Genomic DNA, 16,676 nt, shown 5'->3' with positions numbered 1-16,676 from the left:
AGTAAAATGAGTAGTTACAGATCTGGAAAGTAATCCCAATATCTTACCTTGGCCAAGCAACTTAATCCTTTTCAGTTTTCTCAGGTACGGCATGGGATAAAAACACCTTCCTCTAAGAGCGGTTAGGAGAATTAAATATGATGAGGTGTGTTAAGTGGCTAGCAGTGTGCCCGTGTGGAATGCACTAGTTGTTCTGACTGGGTTATGGAAGTCGCTGGGCTCTAAGCCTGCCTTAGTGTTGCTAGTGACTAGTGGTGGCGCCTCCGGGTGATCATTTCACTTTGTGCCTGAGTTTCCTCATTTGTAAAATAAGATATTTGGCCTGTGCCTATGGTTTTCAGGTTTTCGGTTTAGGCTTCTGGAGCCTGTGTCCAGTGTTCACCCCTCCCTGTCACCGCTCCCCTTCTGCTCCAGAAGTTGTTCTCTTTTTCTGTCATGTTCTAACTTCCTCTGGTGATGTCTTTTGAGCAAAATATTATGTGGCAAAAAAGAAACTGGAACAACTTCACAGGGTGATCTTGTAAGGATCGTTTCAGTGAGGGGCTTAGCACCCGGGCCAGCGGCTGCGGAGGGTGTACTGGGTCCCCCAGCAGTGCCGGCCCACCAGCGCTGTGCTCGATTTCTCGCCGGGCCTTAGCTGCCTTCCCACAGGGCAGGGCTCGGGACCTGCAGCCCGCCATGCCTGAGCCTTCCCCGCCTCCGTGGGTTCCTGTGCGGCCGGAGCCTCCCCGAAGAGCACCGCCCCCTGCTGCACGGCGCCCAGGTCCATCAACTGCCCAAGGGCTGAGGAGTGTGAGCGCATCGCGCAGGACTGGCAGGCAGCTCCACCTGCAGCCCCGGTGCGGGATCCACTGGGTGAAGCCAGCTGGTCTCCTGAGTCTGGTGGGGAGGTGGAGAGTCTTTATGTCTAACTCAGGGATTGTAAATACACCAGTCGGCACTCTGTATCTAGCTCAAGGTTTGTAAATACACCAATCAGCACCCTGTGTCTAGCTCAGGGTTTGTGAGTGCACCAATCGACACTCTGTGTCTAGCTGCTCTGGTGGGGCCTTGGAGAACCTGTGTGTCCATACTCTGTATCTAACTAATCTGATGGGGACGTGGAGAACCTTTGTATCTAGCTCCGGGATTGTAAACGCACCACTCAGCGCCCTGTCAAAACAGGCCACTCGGCTCTACCAATCAGCAGGATGTGGGTGGGGCCAGATAAGAGAATAAAAGCAGGCTGCCGGAGCCAGCAGTGGCAACCCACTCGGGTCCCCTTCCACACTGTGGAAGGTTTGTTCTTTCGCTCTTTGCAATAAATCTTGCTACTGCTCACTCTTTGGGTCCACGCTGCTTTTATGAGTTGTAACACTCACCGCGAAGATCTGCAGCTTCACTCCTGAGCCCAGCAAGACCACGAGCCCACCGGGAGGAACGAACAACTCCAGACGCGCTACCTTAAGAGCTGTAACACTCATCGCAAAGGTCTGCAGCTTCACTCCTGAGCCAGCGAGACCACGAACCCACCAGAAGGAAGAAACGCCGAACACATCTGAACATCAGAAGGAACAAACTCCAGACGCGCCACCTTAAGAGCTGTAGCACTCACCGCGAGGGTCCGCGGCTTCATTCTTGAAGTCAGTGAGACCAAGAACCCACCAATTCCGGACACAGTTCTAATGCCCACTGAGACTTGAACTATTAAATAGGATATAATATGAAGGAGAATGTGTTAGTTTTATATTGCTGTCGTTAACAAATCACCACAAACTTAGTGGCTTGAAACAACACAGATTGATCATTATCTCATCGTTCTGTGGGTTAGAGGTTTGGGTTTGCTTGGCTGGTTTTTCTACTTCTGGTTTTTCCATTTCCAAATCAAGATTTAGGCAGGACTGTGTCTATTTCTGGAGGCTCTGAAGGTGAATCTGCTTCAAGTTCATTAAGCTTGTTGGAAGGATTAAGTTCTGTGTGGTCATAGGACTGCGGTCCCCCTTTTCTTGTTGGTTGTTGCCCAGGGGTCCTCCTCAGCTTCTAGCGGTCACCTTTAGTCCTTTGCGTGTGGTCCGCTACCTCCATTTTGAAAGCTAGCAGAGATGGCCCAAGTTCTTCTCACTCTCTGGTACTGTCTGACCTCCTCATCCTCTTCTTTTTGCCTCGTCTTTGTCTGGTTTCCTTTTCTGGTGCATCTTCTGAGTGCCTGTTCTCCCTTCCTCTTTGAAGGTCTTGTGTGATTACACTGGGCCCACCCAGATAATCCAGAATAATCTCCCTCTATTAAGGTTAGTTGATGAGTAACCTTAGTTCCATCTGCCGTGTGCCTTCTTAGCAGTGGCTAGATGAACATTTGATTAAATCATCAAGGGATGAGACTCTTAGGGGGCCAGCATCTTTAAAATCCTGCATAAATGCGGAATTACGTATAAAATACTGTGGGATTTCAGAATAAAGAGAAATGACTTTCAACTGGGCAGCATCTGGAAAAGCCCCTTTGAGATGGTAGCACCTTGTCGTCTATTGAAACGTAGTTCCGATGGGTGCTATAGAGCTGGAGTAGAAGGGACTCTGGTTGTGGGGTAACAGCTTAGATGCCAGTGTGGAGACAGGAAGGATGATAACGTGTGGTCCACTAAGAGCAGCCATATCCCTTGAATGTACTCCATGTGTTAGTTACTATTTACAGAGTTATTCAGGCTCCTAACATCAGATTTTTCTAGATCAAAGTAGAAATAAGAGGAACGTCAAGAAGATAATCAACACGTAGCATGCAGAATCATTATTTTAAAAGGACTAAGACAGTTGTGTGGTGTGATTGTTGTACCACCTTCTCTTTGGCTGTTAGAAAGAACTGAGTAGCGTTACACATGAAAATGTGAAATCTGATTTTCTTATTTCTAAACTTTTAAAAGCTCCATATCTACTGATACAAACCAGAGAATGTGGCCTTTGGGAAAAGTCTCCCACTCTCCTTTTGTATTGCCCCACAGGGCTTACCTCTGTGACCATTCTGAGTGGGCTTTGTACCCTACTTTAGGTGGATGATAACTTCAGCACAGTCCCAGCTTGTGTGGAGAGATGATGAGGTCATGTTGGCAGGTCCTTGGTGTCTCTAAACATTACTGCCGTATTATAACTGATTTTCTATAACAATTCCACATAAAGGAAAAATCTTTTTTTTTTTTTTTTTTTTGGAGACGGAGTCTCGCTCTGTCGCCCAGGCTGGAGTGCAGTGGCGCGATCTCAGCTCACTGCAAGCTCTGCATCCCAGGTTCACGCCATTCTCCTGCCTCAGCCTCCTGAGTAGCTGGGACTACAGGCGCCTGCCACCAAGCCCGGCTAATTTTTTGTATTTTTAGTAGAGATGGGGTTTCACCGTGTTAGCCAGGATAGTCTCGATCTCCTGGCCTCGTGATCCGCCCGCCTTGGCCTCTCAAAGTGCTGGGATTACAGGTGTGAGCCATCGCGCCCAGCCTGGAAAAATCTTTATTAGCGTTACTCTCTACCACTTCCCTTCCTTTTCACCTAATTTATTTATAAGCTTTAAAAAGAGTTGTATATACCTTTTTATTTTGAAAGCATGCATCTATACAAAGGAGTCACAGAATACTTTCTGCCAACCTTTGAAAAATACAAAGGATGTAACTGCCCACAGTTGCTTTTCTTCAGCCTTTTAAAGTGTGTATACATAAGGGCTAAAATAACAAAACCAGTGCAGCCAGCTGGTCCTTTTTTCACATGCTGCATATGAGAAATAGGATTAAAAGGGGAAGTTATGGTGGCAGAAAGCCAAGGGGTGTTTTATGAGAGATCAGCAATTTCACTTGCCTTTGGTGACTCATATTTTGCCCTTAAAGCTTCTAGTACATACGAAGACTTCCGTAGTCTTTCCAAACCTTTCTCCCTCTCTCTTGCCAGAGTTTGTTTTCCTTCCTTCTCTTCCCACCTTCCACCGAAACCTGAAGTGCTGGTCCTGATGATTAGAGGCCTGCAAAAGGAAACTCGTCTTCTTCTGTGTCTTTTTTTTTCTTTTTTTTTTACTCACTTTGATAAGAAAAATAGCCTTTTCTTGGAGTTGCTCTCTGCATACTGAGCAGACATTGGTACACATGTAATTCATATAGTAGTTAATTGGCACTATTTAGCAGCTGGAAAGGAAGCACTACCTTCCTTACCATGTGGCAGTCTCATTCTTGTCACTATCCAGCCATAATCTCTGCTGGTGTTCTGATTAAAGCTTTGTGCTTTCAGATTCAGAGACACTGGGAACTGTTTCTGGTTTCCTCTTTTTCCATTCATTTTCCCACTTTAATATGCTAAGGTATGTTTTCTGATAATTCAGAAAGATTGCTGTTGCTTTCACCTGTAGTTTTCTCTTCCTGTTTCCACAATGCATCTGACTTTGAGAATACATTACTTTGCCCATCTATTATGTCAGTCATGTCCACTTCTGGTTTCTTTCCTGTAGGGAAAATTGATTTTTTAAAAATGAAACCAAACCTTTAGAAACTCTCTTAGGTAATTTCTTCCAGCTCTCATGTTCCTATATTTTCCTTGTTTGTAATATCTAATTAAAAGCTTATTATAAGGATCCTTCCAGTGTCGTTAACTTCAAGTAAACTGTGTCTGTACACCTGCAGGTACCCACATACATTTTTATGAAAAGGCCAAGCTCCAATTTGTGGTACATTTTTAAATCGTTAGTATTAAGAATTGAAGATGTGGGGGCATTATTTACGTTTGAGAAGCCCTTTTCAATCTTAAAATCTATAGGGTTCTAAGCTTCACATTATCTCATATGAACAAAGGTGACACCGCCATTTAAAAACTGAGGCTATGCATACACAGGTAGAGAGAGAGAGCAAGCAGGCACATGGATGCAAGCACAAACATGCTGAGAAAATATCCATGCCTAAGGGCATTTCTTTCAGTCCTCACTGAATGTGCCCTTCTATTCATTTGCTACATTAAATCACAACCCTGGCATTTACCCTCTTAGGATACAAATTAATAATTAAGACCAACCAGTCCATGAAAACTCAAAGTGGAAAGTATAAACAGTAACAAATGAACCTAATTGTATTACAAATTAAGTATTTTGTAATTTACACTAAAGGGAATGGAAAAGGAAAGAACGAACATAAATAATTTTGAAAAACAGTTTTTTAACTGTATGCCGTGTGGTTGAAGACAAAAAGAACAGTACACAAACACTGTACTCCAGTTAGTAAATTTGTCTTTTACAGGGGTATGAGCTATTAATTCTGAAACTATTACTGATGCAGAATTTTTCTTCTTGGTCACTTCGCAAGGTGGGGACCCCTGACCAGCAACACCCCCCCTGGACCTCCCTTGGCCACGCTGGTGTGCCCCAGCTTACCTGTGTTAGAGCTTGTACCTTTGTTTGGTGTTTCCGAACTCTTAGACTGCACTGAAGAAGAATGAGGACACGTGGGGCATGGAAGGGTGAGGAGGATGGAGAAGAATGTTTTCGAGTTATGAAAACGGCTTTCAGCAAGGGTCAGCAGGGGAGGGAGGGGGTTCCTCTGTGTGGCTGGGTCTGGGGCCCTTTATGGACTCAGAATGGGGAGTGCATGCTGATTGGTTTGTAAGTATGCAAAAAAGATTAAAGCAAAAACACCACTCAAAGGTGGGCAGGACAGTGTAGAAAAACCAATTAGGAAAGGGTAGGAAACCAATTAGGAAAGGGTATATGTAAAATACGTGAAGGGTGGGGACCCATCAGAGGAAAGTATGCCAGACAGGAAGACACTCTCAGTTTGGTCCAAAGATTTAACTTGTAGCTCAGCTTTCAGGCTTTAAACTATCTTTGGCCTGAAGGTAGGATTTTGCAGGGGACCTGCCTCTGTCTGTCTGTCTAGGCATTTGTCTGCCTCTATCATTACTTTATCTGTATACTAGGATATGCAAATAAACAAACATACTATAGATGATAAGAGGCAGTTTTCTCTCTATGGGAGAAAGAAATTATGAATAAGGAACCCTGTGGTATTGGATTCCAGTTGACGTTATTCATATGAACTTGTAATTTTTAATGTATGGATTGATGCAGAAACGTAGGTGAGTTTGCATGATGGGTATGTATATATGCATGTAAATATACGCCTGCATATATTTCTTAGCTCTGCCTGCCGAGCGGATCTAGAAGCACTGATATCTCAATATCAATGAGCAGCGTAGCTTCCAGACCTTGGTTTCTAAATACTGTTCACCAGTAAAATGAATTAATGCTCTGTGGAGAATTGGTTGGTTGTAGTCCTGGGGCAGGGAAAATATAAAATGAGCCTAGAACATCTTGTGGTGCCAGAAAGTAAGTGCTCAAAAGAAGAGGGTGGTGTGCCAGAAGGCCAACCTAGCCAACCTGGAGGAGCTCCTAATGGCCAAAGCTGGAACAATTTGAGCAACAAAGTGATAGTATTAGATTATACTCAGAGAAGAAAATGAATATCCGTTGAATACATTTTAAAAATTGTGGAGAAGGGACAGGTTTTTATTACAGAAAAATTTTAACAATTGTGAAAGGAAAGGAGGAAATGGCAAATATCGCAGTAATTATTGTTGTTGATAGAGCCATTGAAGGATACTAAATTTAGTAGATGAAAGTTAGGGAAGAAACAGGATATTTGTGTAGTCTCAAAGTATCTCTCCCAGGATATTTATTCATTATGAGGGGAAAATACTAACTTTACAATGTAGACAGTGAAAGATACCACCTTAACCAAGTGATCAAGATTAACATCACCAGTGGCAAGGCATCTCAACATCATGAAGCCTCTGATGCTCTAAAGGAGAAGATAACATCACTTAACATCACTTCTCTTTCCCAAAATGCCTAACTTCATTGTAAACATGAGAAAACAGCAGCCAAACCCAAATTGCAAGATATTCTATATAATAACTGGCCCATCTTCTTTTGAAGTGTCGAGGTCATAAAAGACAAGGGAATACTGAAGAACTGTCACCAAATGGAGGAGACTAAGAAGCCATAGTAACTGAAGGCCTTGTGGGTTCTAGAGAGGATCATGGAATAGGACAAGGGCAGTAATGGGGAAACTGGTGAAATTTGAATAAGGTGTATAGTTCAGTTAATACTATACCAACATTAACGTTCTGGTTTTGATAATTGCACTGATGGTTACGTAAGATGTTAACATTAAGGGAAGACTGGGTGGAGGATTTACAGGAACTCTGTACCATTTGTACAACCTTTTTGTAAGTCTAAAATTATTTCAGAAGAAAAAAGAAAGATGCTGGGTAGTTAAACGTACAAAGGTATGTGTACAAGGACATTAAAAGCAGCATTGTATACAATAGCAAAAAATTGAGAATAATACAAATCTCGATCAGTGAAGGATTACATCAGTTATACTTTATTCATGTAATTAATACAGTTGTTAAAAAGACCACGTAGAGTTATGAGTAGTGGTATGGATGGCAAAGTGAAGAGAAGGGGTTAAGAGTATAGCTTCTTTATTCATGCTGCCTGGATTCTCTGATACTTAGCACCAATTCTGTGACCTTGGGGAAATTATTCCTCTATCAGCTTCCTCATCTGGAACTTGGGAAAAGTAAATATACCTACTTATGAACCAGGAATGAGGTTTAAATGTGAAAATCCATGTAAAGCCTACAGGATGATACTTGGCACATAAAAAATACTTCATAAAATATGATTACCTAATTATTATTTTCAAGGAATTGATGGTGGGGAACATCAATACAAAATTAAGTATGGAATGATACCATTTATGTTAAAATTCATATGTGAGAATCTAGAAGATGAATGTGTTAATAGTGGTGATGTCAGGGGAGCAGCATATTAGGGAACTTCTGGGTGGTGGTGGTGGTGGTGGTGGTGGTGGTGGTGGTGGTGAGAGACAGAGTTTGCACTTTCACCCAGGCTGGAGTGCAATATAGCGATGCAACCATATCTCACTGCAACCACAAATTCCTGGGCTCAAGGGATCCTCCCACCTTAACCTCCCCCCTCAAAGTAGCTGGGACTGCAGGCATGTGCCACCAAGCCTAGCTAATTTTCTTTCTTTTTTTTTTTTTTTTAATAGAGACAGGGTCTTTCTGTGTTGCCCAGATTGGTCTCAAATTCCTGGCCTCAAGTAATCTTCCCCCTCGGCCTCCCAAATAGGAACTTCCACTTTCTAAGTTAAATATTTTAAAATTTATTTTGCATAAAGTATACTGAAGGTATCCAGGGAACTTCACTCCAAAATATGGCTCCCTGGTATAATAGGTATTTTGAATGAAAGGTTCTTAGAGATCAGTAAATGTGGGAAGAGACTTTTCCCCCATCCAAGTAAAGACTGGACCCACCAAGGAGAACGACTGTTTGTCCTTCACCTCCTTGTTATCTCATTATCTATTGTAACAAAGAATACTAAAGAATGTAAGCATGCTCGAACATTTTCTAAAGAGGACCATTTACAAGTTCATCTCTGTTTTCCCATCCGTTCATTCTCCTTGGTAATCATTTATTGCCCTTTGACAGAGTTCCCTGCATTCGCTATCTCCCCGCTCCTCTATGAAAAGAAGCTGTAGGAGTATGTTGGCCCCATTGGAATATTTGGGGAATCACTCTGTGATTGTCCCTTGTACATATTAATAAATTGTATGCTTTTTTCGCTGTTATTCTACCTTTGGCCAGTTGATTTTCAGTGAACCTTCAAAGGGCAAAGGGGAGGTTTGCCCTTTGTTCCTGCAATACAGTTGAAGAAGTATGCATAGCAACTTTTAAGAGAAGCCTGCTATCAATATTTATTAAGTAAAACCAGCCATGAAAACTATTTCTAAAGCTAAAGGCATCGCATAGTGTCCAAGGTCATATGACTTGTCCCTCACATTGGAAATTGTAAGAGACCTGACTGTGCTCTCAGCCACTTAAAACTAGTTGATGTCTACAGTTCTCTGAAATGTGGGTCTTAACTTGGAAGATTAACTAATTACTCTAGTGTATAATCCTAGGTTGTGAAAGGTTATGGATAACCTAGGTAAGGATGGGTATGACTAGCTCTTTGTCTTTATGAAAAATAAACCAAATGGCTTCTAAACTGTAGCATTTTGCCAGTAATAAATAATTCCTGACATTTTTATTAGAGTGATTAAAACCTGGAGTTGGGCACCAAAATGGTGATGTAATCTCCAGGACTGAAGTTAAAAATAGGATAGATATCAATTGCTTTTTAATCTTTAGGTGGTGATGGGCCAACTGAGTTACAGGGGGATCCGGAATTCACTAATACCTTCACAAAAGCTATCTATGATTATATACACTGTAGGTAAAATATATATGGAAATAACTACATGTTTTCAAAGAATATGCTTATATTTATATTTTGGATATAACATCAGTTTGTTTCACGATTATAAAGATTTTTTCTTCCTTGCTTGGTTTGATGCCTGTGTCATTCTGAAGTTCTTTATAGTGTTTACTAGAGAACTCAGCCTGACCATTCTAATTTAAGTGTATACAGGTTACGTAGCAAATTTAAGGCCCGTCTGTCTTTGTGGTTTTGGTGATACTAGGTTGGTTGCTTGGTTGGTTGGTTTGTTTCTTTCTCTTTTTTCTTTTTTGGTAAATCATATATAAAGCAAAGTATACCAGGTTTCTTAAAGAGGTATATTGCAAGGAAATAGGAAGATGATTCTAAGAAATTAGAACAAAAGGTGAAACTTTCTTCTGTTCTCTTGGACTTGTGATTCCTTTTTATATCTTCCCTATTATAGTCCTTTTAAATTTGAATCACCAAAGCTTTCCAAGGATAAAATGAAAATGTCGAAAGCATTATTTTCCTCATATTACTCCTGGTAATGTTTTTATACATTTTTCATCCTGGTTTCTTAAACACTTTCGTTTAAGTATACATTACTGGTTGACCAGCTATTTTTAAATCTTTTAGATCTCATTTCAGTTGTACTTTTTTTTGTCAGGGCTCCACCTGCTTTTTTATTCTGTTTGCAACAGTCACTATTTCATTTGTTGGTAACCATATGGCATAGCCTTTTTTTTTTTTTTTTTTTTTTTTACAATAAAATTAGATGCAGTGTGTTGAAGCCCATATTGTTGTATCACAGTCTCTGGAGAGCTTAAAGTAGGTGGGAGAGGGCATCCCAAAATGCAGCATGCCGCTGATAGGACGGATAATCTTAGCACAGGATTGGATTTTAAAATACTGCATTTCAAAGGTGCCGACATATGTAGCTAGTGCCAGTACAAGAGTAGAGTCTATAGATGAATAGCACAGCTGCAGTGTTGGTGGAGTTTTCCCTCCTATTTCCCAAATACTTTGGTTTCTTAAATTCTAGGATTGTTTTTAAACTCTTCTTCCTGCACACTGAAATTCTAAGATTTTAATATGATATAAGCTACTCCCATGGACCACTGTTGTAAAGTTGAGATCATCATGGTAACAAACTCTAGGGAAAGATCAATGGACTCTTGGAGTCACATCATCTTGGTTAAAGTTCTGACCCTGACACTTACTGGCATTGTGACATTGGGCAAATTAAGGAGGCTTTCAGAGTCCACTTTCTCTAACCATAAAATGGAGATGACATCGCATCTTGTGAACAGTTGTTACAGGAGGAAATGAGATTACATGTGTCACATGCTTCGCTCGTTCTCTGGACCGTAACTCGTACCTGTAAGTGTCCTTCCTTCCTTTCTCCCCACCACTTACTCTCATCTCCCTCTTACTCAGTGTTGTGTTTTCTAAGATTTAAAAAACAGACAACAGAAAACAATATTTTAATCCCTTTTTATGTTAGGATCTGAAAATCTTTAGATATTTCCTTTCTCCCTTTCATTCCTTCATTCATTTTTGGCTTTGCACCAGGACTTATTTCTTGAGGGTCAGATAAGCCCTCTGACCTCAGGGAGGCACCCAGGTTAATCCACACTCAGAGAAAAGCCGGAAGTCACTGGGAAAGTCTAGTGGAAGTGCTGAACCCGGAAGCAGCTGGAAGGTAGGGGAAGTGAAGTCAGCCTCACAGAGCTGAGGTTTAAGGGACATTAGGAGGACTAGGAGACAAAGTCGTGGGACAGAGGGAATCATTTGTTCATTTGAATATGAGGATGAGTGAGAGAGAGGATTTCCATGTGACTTTTGGGATTTAAGTACCTGGTAGGGTCATTTCACTGAGATAAGGAATATGAGCAGGTTATTAGAAATGGAAGTAATCTTAAAAGATTTTCTAGATAGTCTGATATTCCTAAATCATTAGGTAATGAAACCGAGGGGCTGTCAAGGTTAAGCTCAAAAAGCAGTTGAGATTCATCCAAGGTCACTCAGACTCTCTCTGCCAATAATAAGAGGGCAATAATGTGACTGCTAAAAGGGCCCTTAGAGAACAGGACTGAAGGTGTGATGGATTCTACTTGAGAATTTTGCAAATGAAACCCAACACAGTTTTCTCTTTGTAGCTAGGGAAGGTCACTGCAAGCTGTCAGAATTGAGGAGAAGTGAAGTGGAACAGAAAGGGTGCAGTTGAGGTCAGATTCCGAGGAGAGAGAGAGTAGGTTGCCAAAATTTAGTGCTCATAAAGCAGTGTGGGGGCGATCCAGGCTGAGTTAACACAGCAGGAGCTGTCACTGTGGAACCCGTGTCAGCGTCCAGTTTTGCGGGCCAGTCGGAGATCAGACCTGGGAACAGAAGACAGGAAAGCAACGCCGTGCTAGGGGAATGTGGAGTGGGTCCAGAGCAGCTCCATGGACAGCAGCTCCTGCTCGTGGAGGCTGGCTGGCCTCCACTCTGGTTGATAGGAACATCTTGCAGTTTTGTCCCTGTGAGCTTGTCCATGCACAAGAAAGTTACTACGCAGTCTGTTATCCCAGATTTGATATTATATTATTTGTGAGTTCTTGACATTTCTTTTAGAAATAACTTATGTTCTAAAGATAGCTGATAATGTTACTTTCATCTGATTTCTAATATTCTTTACAAATATTAGAATTAGACTGATGAAGACAGATACTATAGTTGATCTTAGCCAGAAAGCCAGGTCAATTTCAAATGTTCTCACTGCAAAAAAGTATTTGAGGTAATGGGCATGTTAATTTGTTTGATTTGATTATTTCACACTGAATTTTCAAATCATAATATTACTTTGTATCCTCAAATATATACAATGATAAGTTGTTGATTTATAATTAAAAAATGTGGTTTATTTTTTTGCTACTATAAATAGGATAAATTAGAGCCCTGTGACCATGCTAGCTAATAGTGGTACTGTATTTATAAAATGAATGTGTTATCTTTAGCTATTAGACACATGAAAAATGGAAATTAGAAAATAGATTTCAAAGTACATATTACCTTCTTCTTTATTTTCAACCCTATAATAAAACAGATGTTTTAGAACACTTTCTGGTTCTCTATAGAGTCCAGACAAAGGCACTGTATTTACATGTGTTGTTTTCCAGGTTTGCCCGGCCTCTTGTTTCTTTAAATACTCTTGGTATTTCAACAGCGAGTTTATAACTAATAATTAAGTATGGGAACACCTATTTTTTCCCTTAAATAGCTTACTCTTTTTCTTCCACAAAGATCTGTTTATTGCCTACAGTTCTATATTTTTGTGGGGGAATCATCTGCTTCCTTGTTACTGATTATAACTGGGAAGCATTTTCAATTTAAATTAATTTTTGGTTGGTTAATATTCTTCCTTAAATATATTTATTACTAAATATTCATCCATCTGAAGTTTTCCTAGTTTTCCATATGTGCCTTCCAAAATGATTTTTGAACCACAAACATGTTTATTAATTAAATCACTAGGCGAAATCCGCCTTTAGTCCAAGTTGTTCTGAACAATCTGTGATACCTAAGAGCCGAAGGTTCTTCTTAAAAGGAAAAGAAATCCTTGTGGTATTTTTTTGTCTTTAAAATATATTAAAAGGTACATTTCAGAACAAAAAAAATGACTAGAATTTTTTTCTAGAATATTCTTTGAGGTGAAGGGATTTCTTGGTGTTTTTTTTGTTTTTGTTTTTTTTTTTCGGAGCGGGTGTGGTATAGCTTACTTCTTAGCAATCCAAGAATAGCATTTCTGGAAAGTGATCAGTCAGTTCAAGCTATAGTCTGCCCTTGAATGTGTATGCTGTTTATATCTCTGTCATGGAGTTATCAGGTGGCTAGTACGAGTCTTTATTGCTGAGAGTAAGATGCCAGTTTGATTTTCAGCCTACTTGTGTTAAGGTTTAACCTGTGATGGAATTCACATTTCTGATAATGATTACTGTATTAAAAATTTAACATGTGATGTGTATGGTAGATCCCTTTTATAATATGGCTGCTGTGTGGATTCTATTTAGCATGTGGTAGATTCTGTCCACAGGAAAAGCAACTATTCACAGTATAAACATCATAGGCCAGCCCTGTCCTCCTTGACAATGCAGATGTTATCTCATCATAGAACATTGTAATTCGAAGTCACCCTTGAGATGATCTTGATGAACCTTCCCATTTTATAAATGAGAAAAGGAGTTTCAGAGAGATAGTGAGTTGTTTAAGGCCCTAATTAGTGTGGGTAAAGACAGAACAGAGAGAAGGACAGCTACTTGTCCTTCTCACTGCCATGGTTTTCCCACCTGCCAGGAGGCCTCTAATTTGAAATGATATGCAAAATTGGTCACCAGAAAGTCCTGGTAACAGTTTGTGATGTAGAGGCTGAGCTGTGGAATTAACATTCAGTTCTGGGCTTGCTCTTCTTTCCCTGTGACCCCATGTTAGCCATTCGGATTTCCTGATTTCCATTCCTTTGCCCTTCTCCCAATTTCACACTGATTAAGACTTTTAAAATCTAGCAAAGATAGCTTCTAGTTGGTGTCATCTGCAAGCAGAAAATAATTTATAAGCAGTTTCTCTTGATCACAAATTGAGTAGAGGGAGCCTCTGCCTCCTGCCTGTGTGATAAGGATCTGTGCAAGGGCATACTTGCAAAAACAATAGGAAATCAGGCTCAAGTAGGTCAAAATCAAAGTTAGAAGTAAACCCCATGATGCAAGACTAGTTTTGTGTATATTTTCTACTGAAGTTCAGTGAAATAATGTCTTTAAAGTTAGAAAGTGATAATAGACCAGAGAACAGTCTGTACCCTGGGGAAAAAAAATAAGGTATATACTTTCCCCTCCGAAACTGATATTTGCAAGACTTATTTATAGCCTTATGCATATTATAAAGCCATAGACCTTTTGAGTAATTTATTGAAAATAGCATAGAGGCCAAGCGTAGTGACTCACACCTGTAATCCCAGCACTCTGGGAGGCCAAGCGAGCAGATTGCTTGAGGTCAAGAGTTTGAAACCAGCCTGGACAACATGGCAACACTCCATCTCTACAAAAATATATTTAAAAAAGTAAGTCCCACCTCTCGGGAGGCTGAGGTGGGAGGATCGCTTGAGCCCAGGAAGCCAAGGCTGCATGAGCCATGAGCATGCACTGCATTCCATCCTGGGCTACAGAGTAAGACCCCGTCACACGCACACACACACACAAATAAACAAATAGCACAGCATAGTACCTGGGTTCAAATTAAAGTTCCATTATTTTCTAACTGTGGGCCCTATTTTTCTCATTTGTGAACTAATGCAGTGTTTCTCAGCTGTGGCTATATGTTAGAACTACCTGGGACAATTACAAAGACTAAAGAAAACAAACCAGCAAAATAGTGCACAGCCTCTATCCCCAGAAAGTTCTGATTTTAATTGATCTGGAAAGAGAACAGTATTTTTTCAGATGCTCCCCAGGTGATTCCAATGGACAACTAAACCACAAAAGCAGATGACTTTGAAGTCCTTTTCACATTTTAATATTCTACAATTCTGAGATTTTTTTATGTCATCTAGTCCAGGCTCACACTCAGCATAATCATCTCTCTATATTTGAAAAGCAGCATTTTGTTTTTAATGTTAGCATTCATTTGGAAAGAATGCTCATTGCCATCAGAAAGCTTTGATTTAAAAGATTTTTCTGATCATCAGCCAAATTTACCTTTGGAAAAACAAATAATAAGTCTAATTACTGATTTAATTGATGACGATTCTGATATTTGAAGATTACTTCTATGATTCAGCAAAGTTACCTCTTCTTAGGTGAAACCTTTCCAATTTTTTTCATCTCTTGTTTTTGTGCACCATTATTTCCGTATCTCAACATGCTATTCTGCTCTGGGGTAATCTGCCCTTATCTCTATAAAATATTTCCCTGGAGTTGAACTACAGCCCCATTGATGATCAAAGGAGGGAACTTGGGGATTTTGGGTGATTATTCCCTTCTCAAACTCTTACTGAATGTAGGATTAATAAATAGACTCTAGTTTTAGTAAACAGTTTAGTAAATGGTGTTTACTAACACATACTCGTCTATAAATATGTATACTAATAAACACAGTTGATGATAAAATTCCCAGCATTTAAAAATTTTCATGGTGTGCCAGGCATTATTCTAGTGTTTAAATATATTAACACATTTGATTCTTTCAGTAACCCTTGAGGGTAGGTACCATTATTTTACTTTTTAGATATAAAGAAGAAACAGACTAAGGAGCAGAGTAGTTAAGTGTCTTGCCTTCAATTTCACAGTAAGTGGCAGAGCTAGAGTGTTGATTGGATAATATAGGGCATCTTATTCCAGAGTTTGTAAGTATGGAAGTTGGAGGTTATAGAAATTACGTGAGATATATAAGGTTTATGCTTATACTTAAATAGGTAAACTGTAGCATAGGAGATGTGCTCAAGTTTGTTGGAATTCTACGTTGTTTTAAGAAAGTTGAAATTTGTCAGAAGCTACTTTCCATAAAAACAATTTATAGTTAGATTGTTTTTTGTAGTTAGATATATCTAGTTAGATTTATAGTTAGATCCATAAAAATCAATTGTTTTTATTTATTCTTTGTATTTTTAATGAATTCTGCTTGACAATCTTTGTTCAATTTGCCAAATAAGTTTCCTAAAACTTAATTTTACTATTCAGGTGCGTGTTTCTTAGTTGACTTAAACAGAAAATTTCTGGTGCTGTGTCACTGAAAAATTATTTGAAGAACTGTTGTTGGTATCCAATAATCCTTTGTTTTCCCATAGTTTCATCAGCCTCATAAATTTGTACTGATTCTAACTGCTTATGATCATTATTTCTTAGTCCTTGTCTGATTCATTCTGAAAACTGAAGCTTTTTATGTAAGGCTTACCCACTTGAGGTTGCCAGTAAAAACCATGCTACCAGGAGATAGAAATCTGTCAGAGAAAAACTGTGCTTGTAGAACCTACCCTCCATTTAACTACTACAGCCTTAAATATGTTTGTAGGGCGAATAAAGAATATAAAGTGTAAAGGCAGCAAAGAAAGCATTCCTATCCCCTGGGAATCTTATCCTAGGGAGTAGTGTGTCCACTTGGGTACGTTTATCGTCCATTCGCCATTCAGTGTATTACTCTGATTGTGAGTATCTCAATGACCATTCTGATAATTGAAGATTACTTCTATGATTCAACATAGTTATCTCTTCTTAGGTGAAGCTTTCCCAATTTTTTTCATCTCTTGTTTTTGGGCACCATTATTTCCGTATCTCAACATGCTCTTCTGCCCTGGCGGTAAGTAGTCTCCTCTTATCTCTATAAAGTGTTTTCCTGGAGTTGAACTACAGCCCCACTGATGATCAGAGGAGA

At 39.9% G+C, this 16,676-nt stretch overlaps 1 protein-coding gene across 21 annotated transcripts in view, besides 1 other annotated feature; it reads left to right on the top strand.

The window, feature by feature from the left end:
- Positions 1 to 16,676, top strand: part of PSD3 (pleckstrin and Sec7 domain containing 3) — a 557,503-nt gene that overhangs the window by 332,970 nt on the left and 207,857 nt on the right. Inside the window, exon 10 of one of the 21 annotated variants that reach the window (NM_001412866.1) lies at positions 16,521 to 16,601. The exons of the other annotated variants lie outside the window; for them this stretch is intronic. Within the exon in view, the coding sequence (NP_001399795.1) occupies positions 16,521 to 16,601 (81 nt within the window). The remainder of the gene's footprint in view (positions 1 to 16,520; positions 16,602 to 16,676) is intronic. 21 annotated transcript variants of the gene reach the window in all.
- Positions 3,830 to 3,889: an enhancer, noted in NCBI's record as "active region_27053". NCBI's record gives its function as "activates an Ori minimal core promoter by ATAC-STARR-seq in GM12878 lymphoblastoid cells {active_cell/tissue: GM12878}" and the evidence as "EXISTENCE:reporter gene assay evidence [ECO:0000049][PMID:35858748]".

Source organism: Homo sapiens, chromosome 8, assembly GCF_000001405.40.
Source record: "Homo sapiens chromosome 8, GRCh38.p14 Primary Assembly".
NCBI lineage: Eukaryota > Metazoa > Chordata > Mammalia > Primates > Hominidae > Homo > Homo sapiens.
The sequence above is the reverse complement of the archived record's forward strand: the minus strand, read 5'-3'. Positions and strand labels throughout refer to the sequence as shown.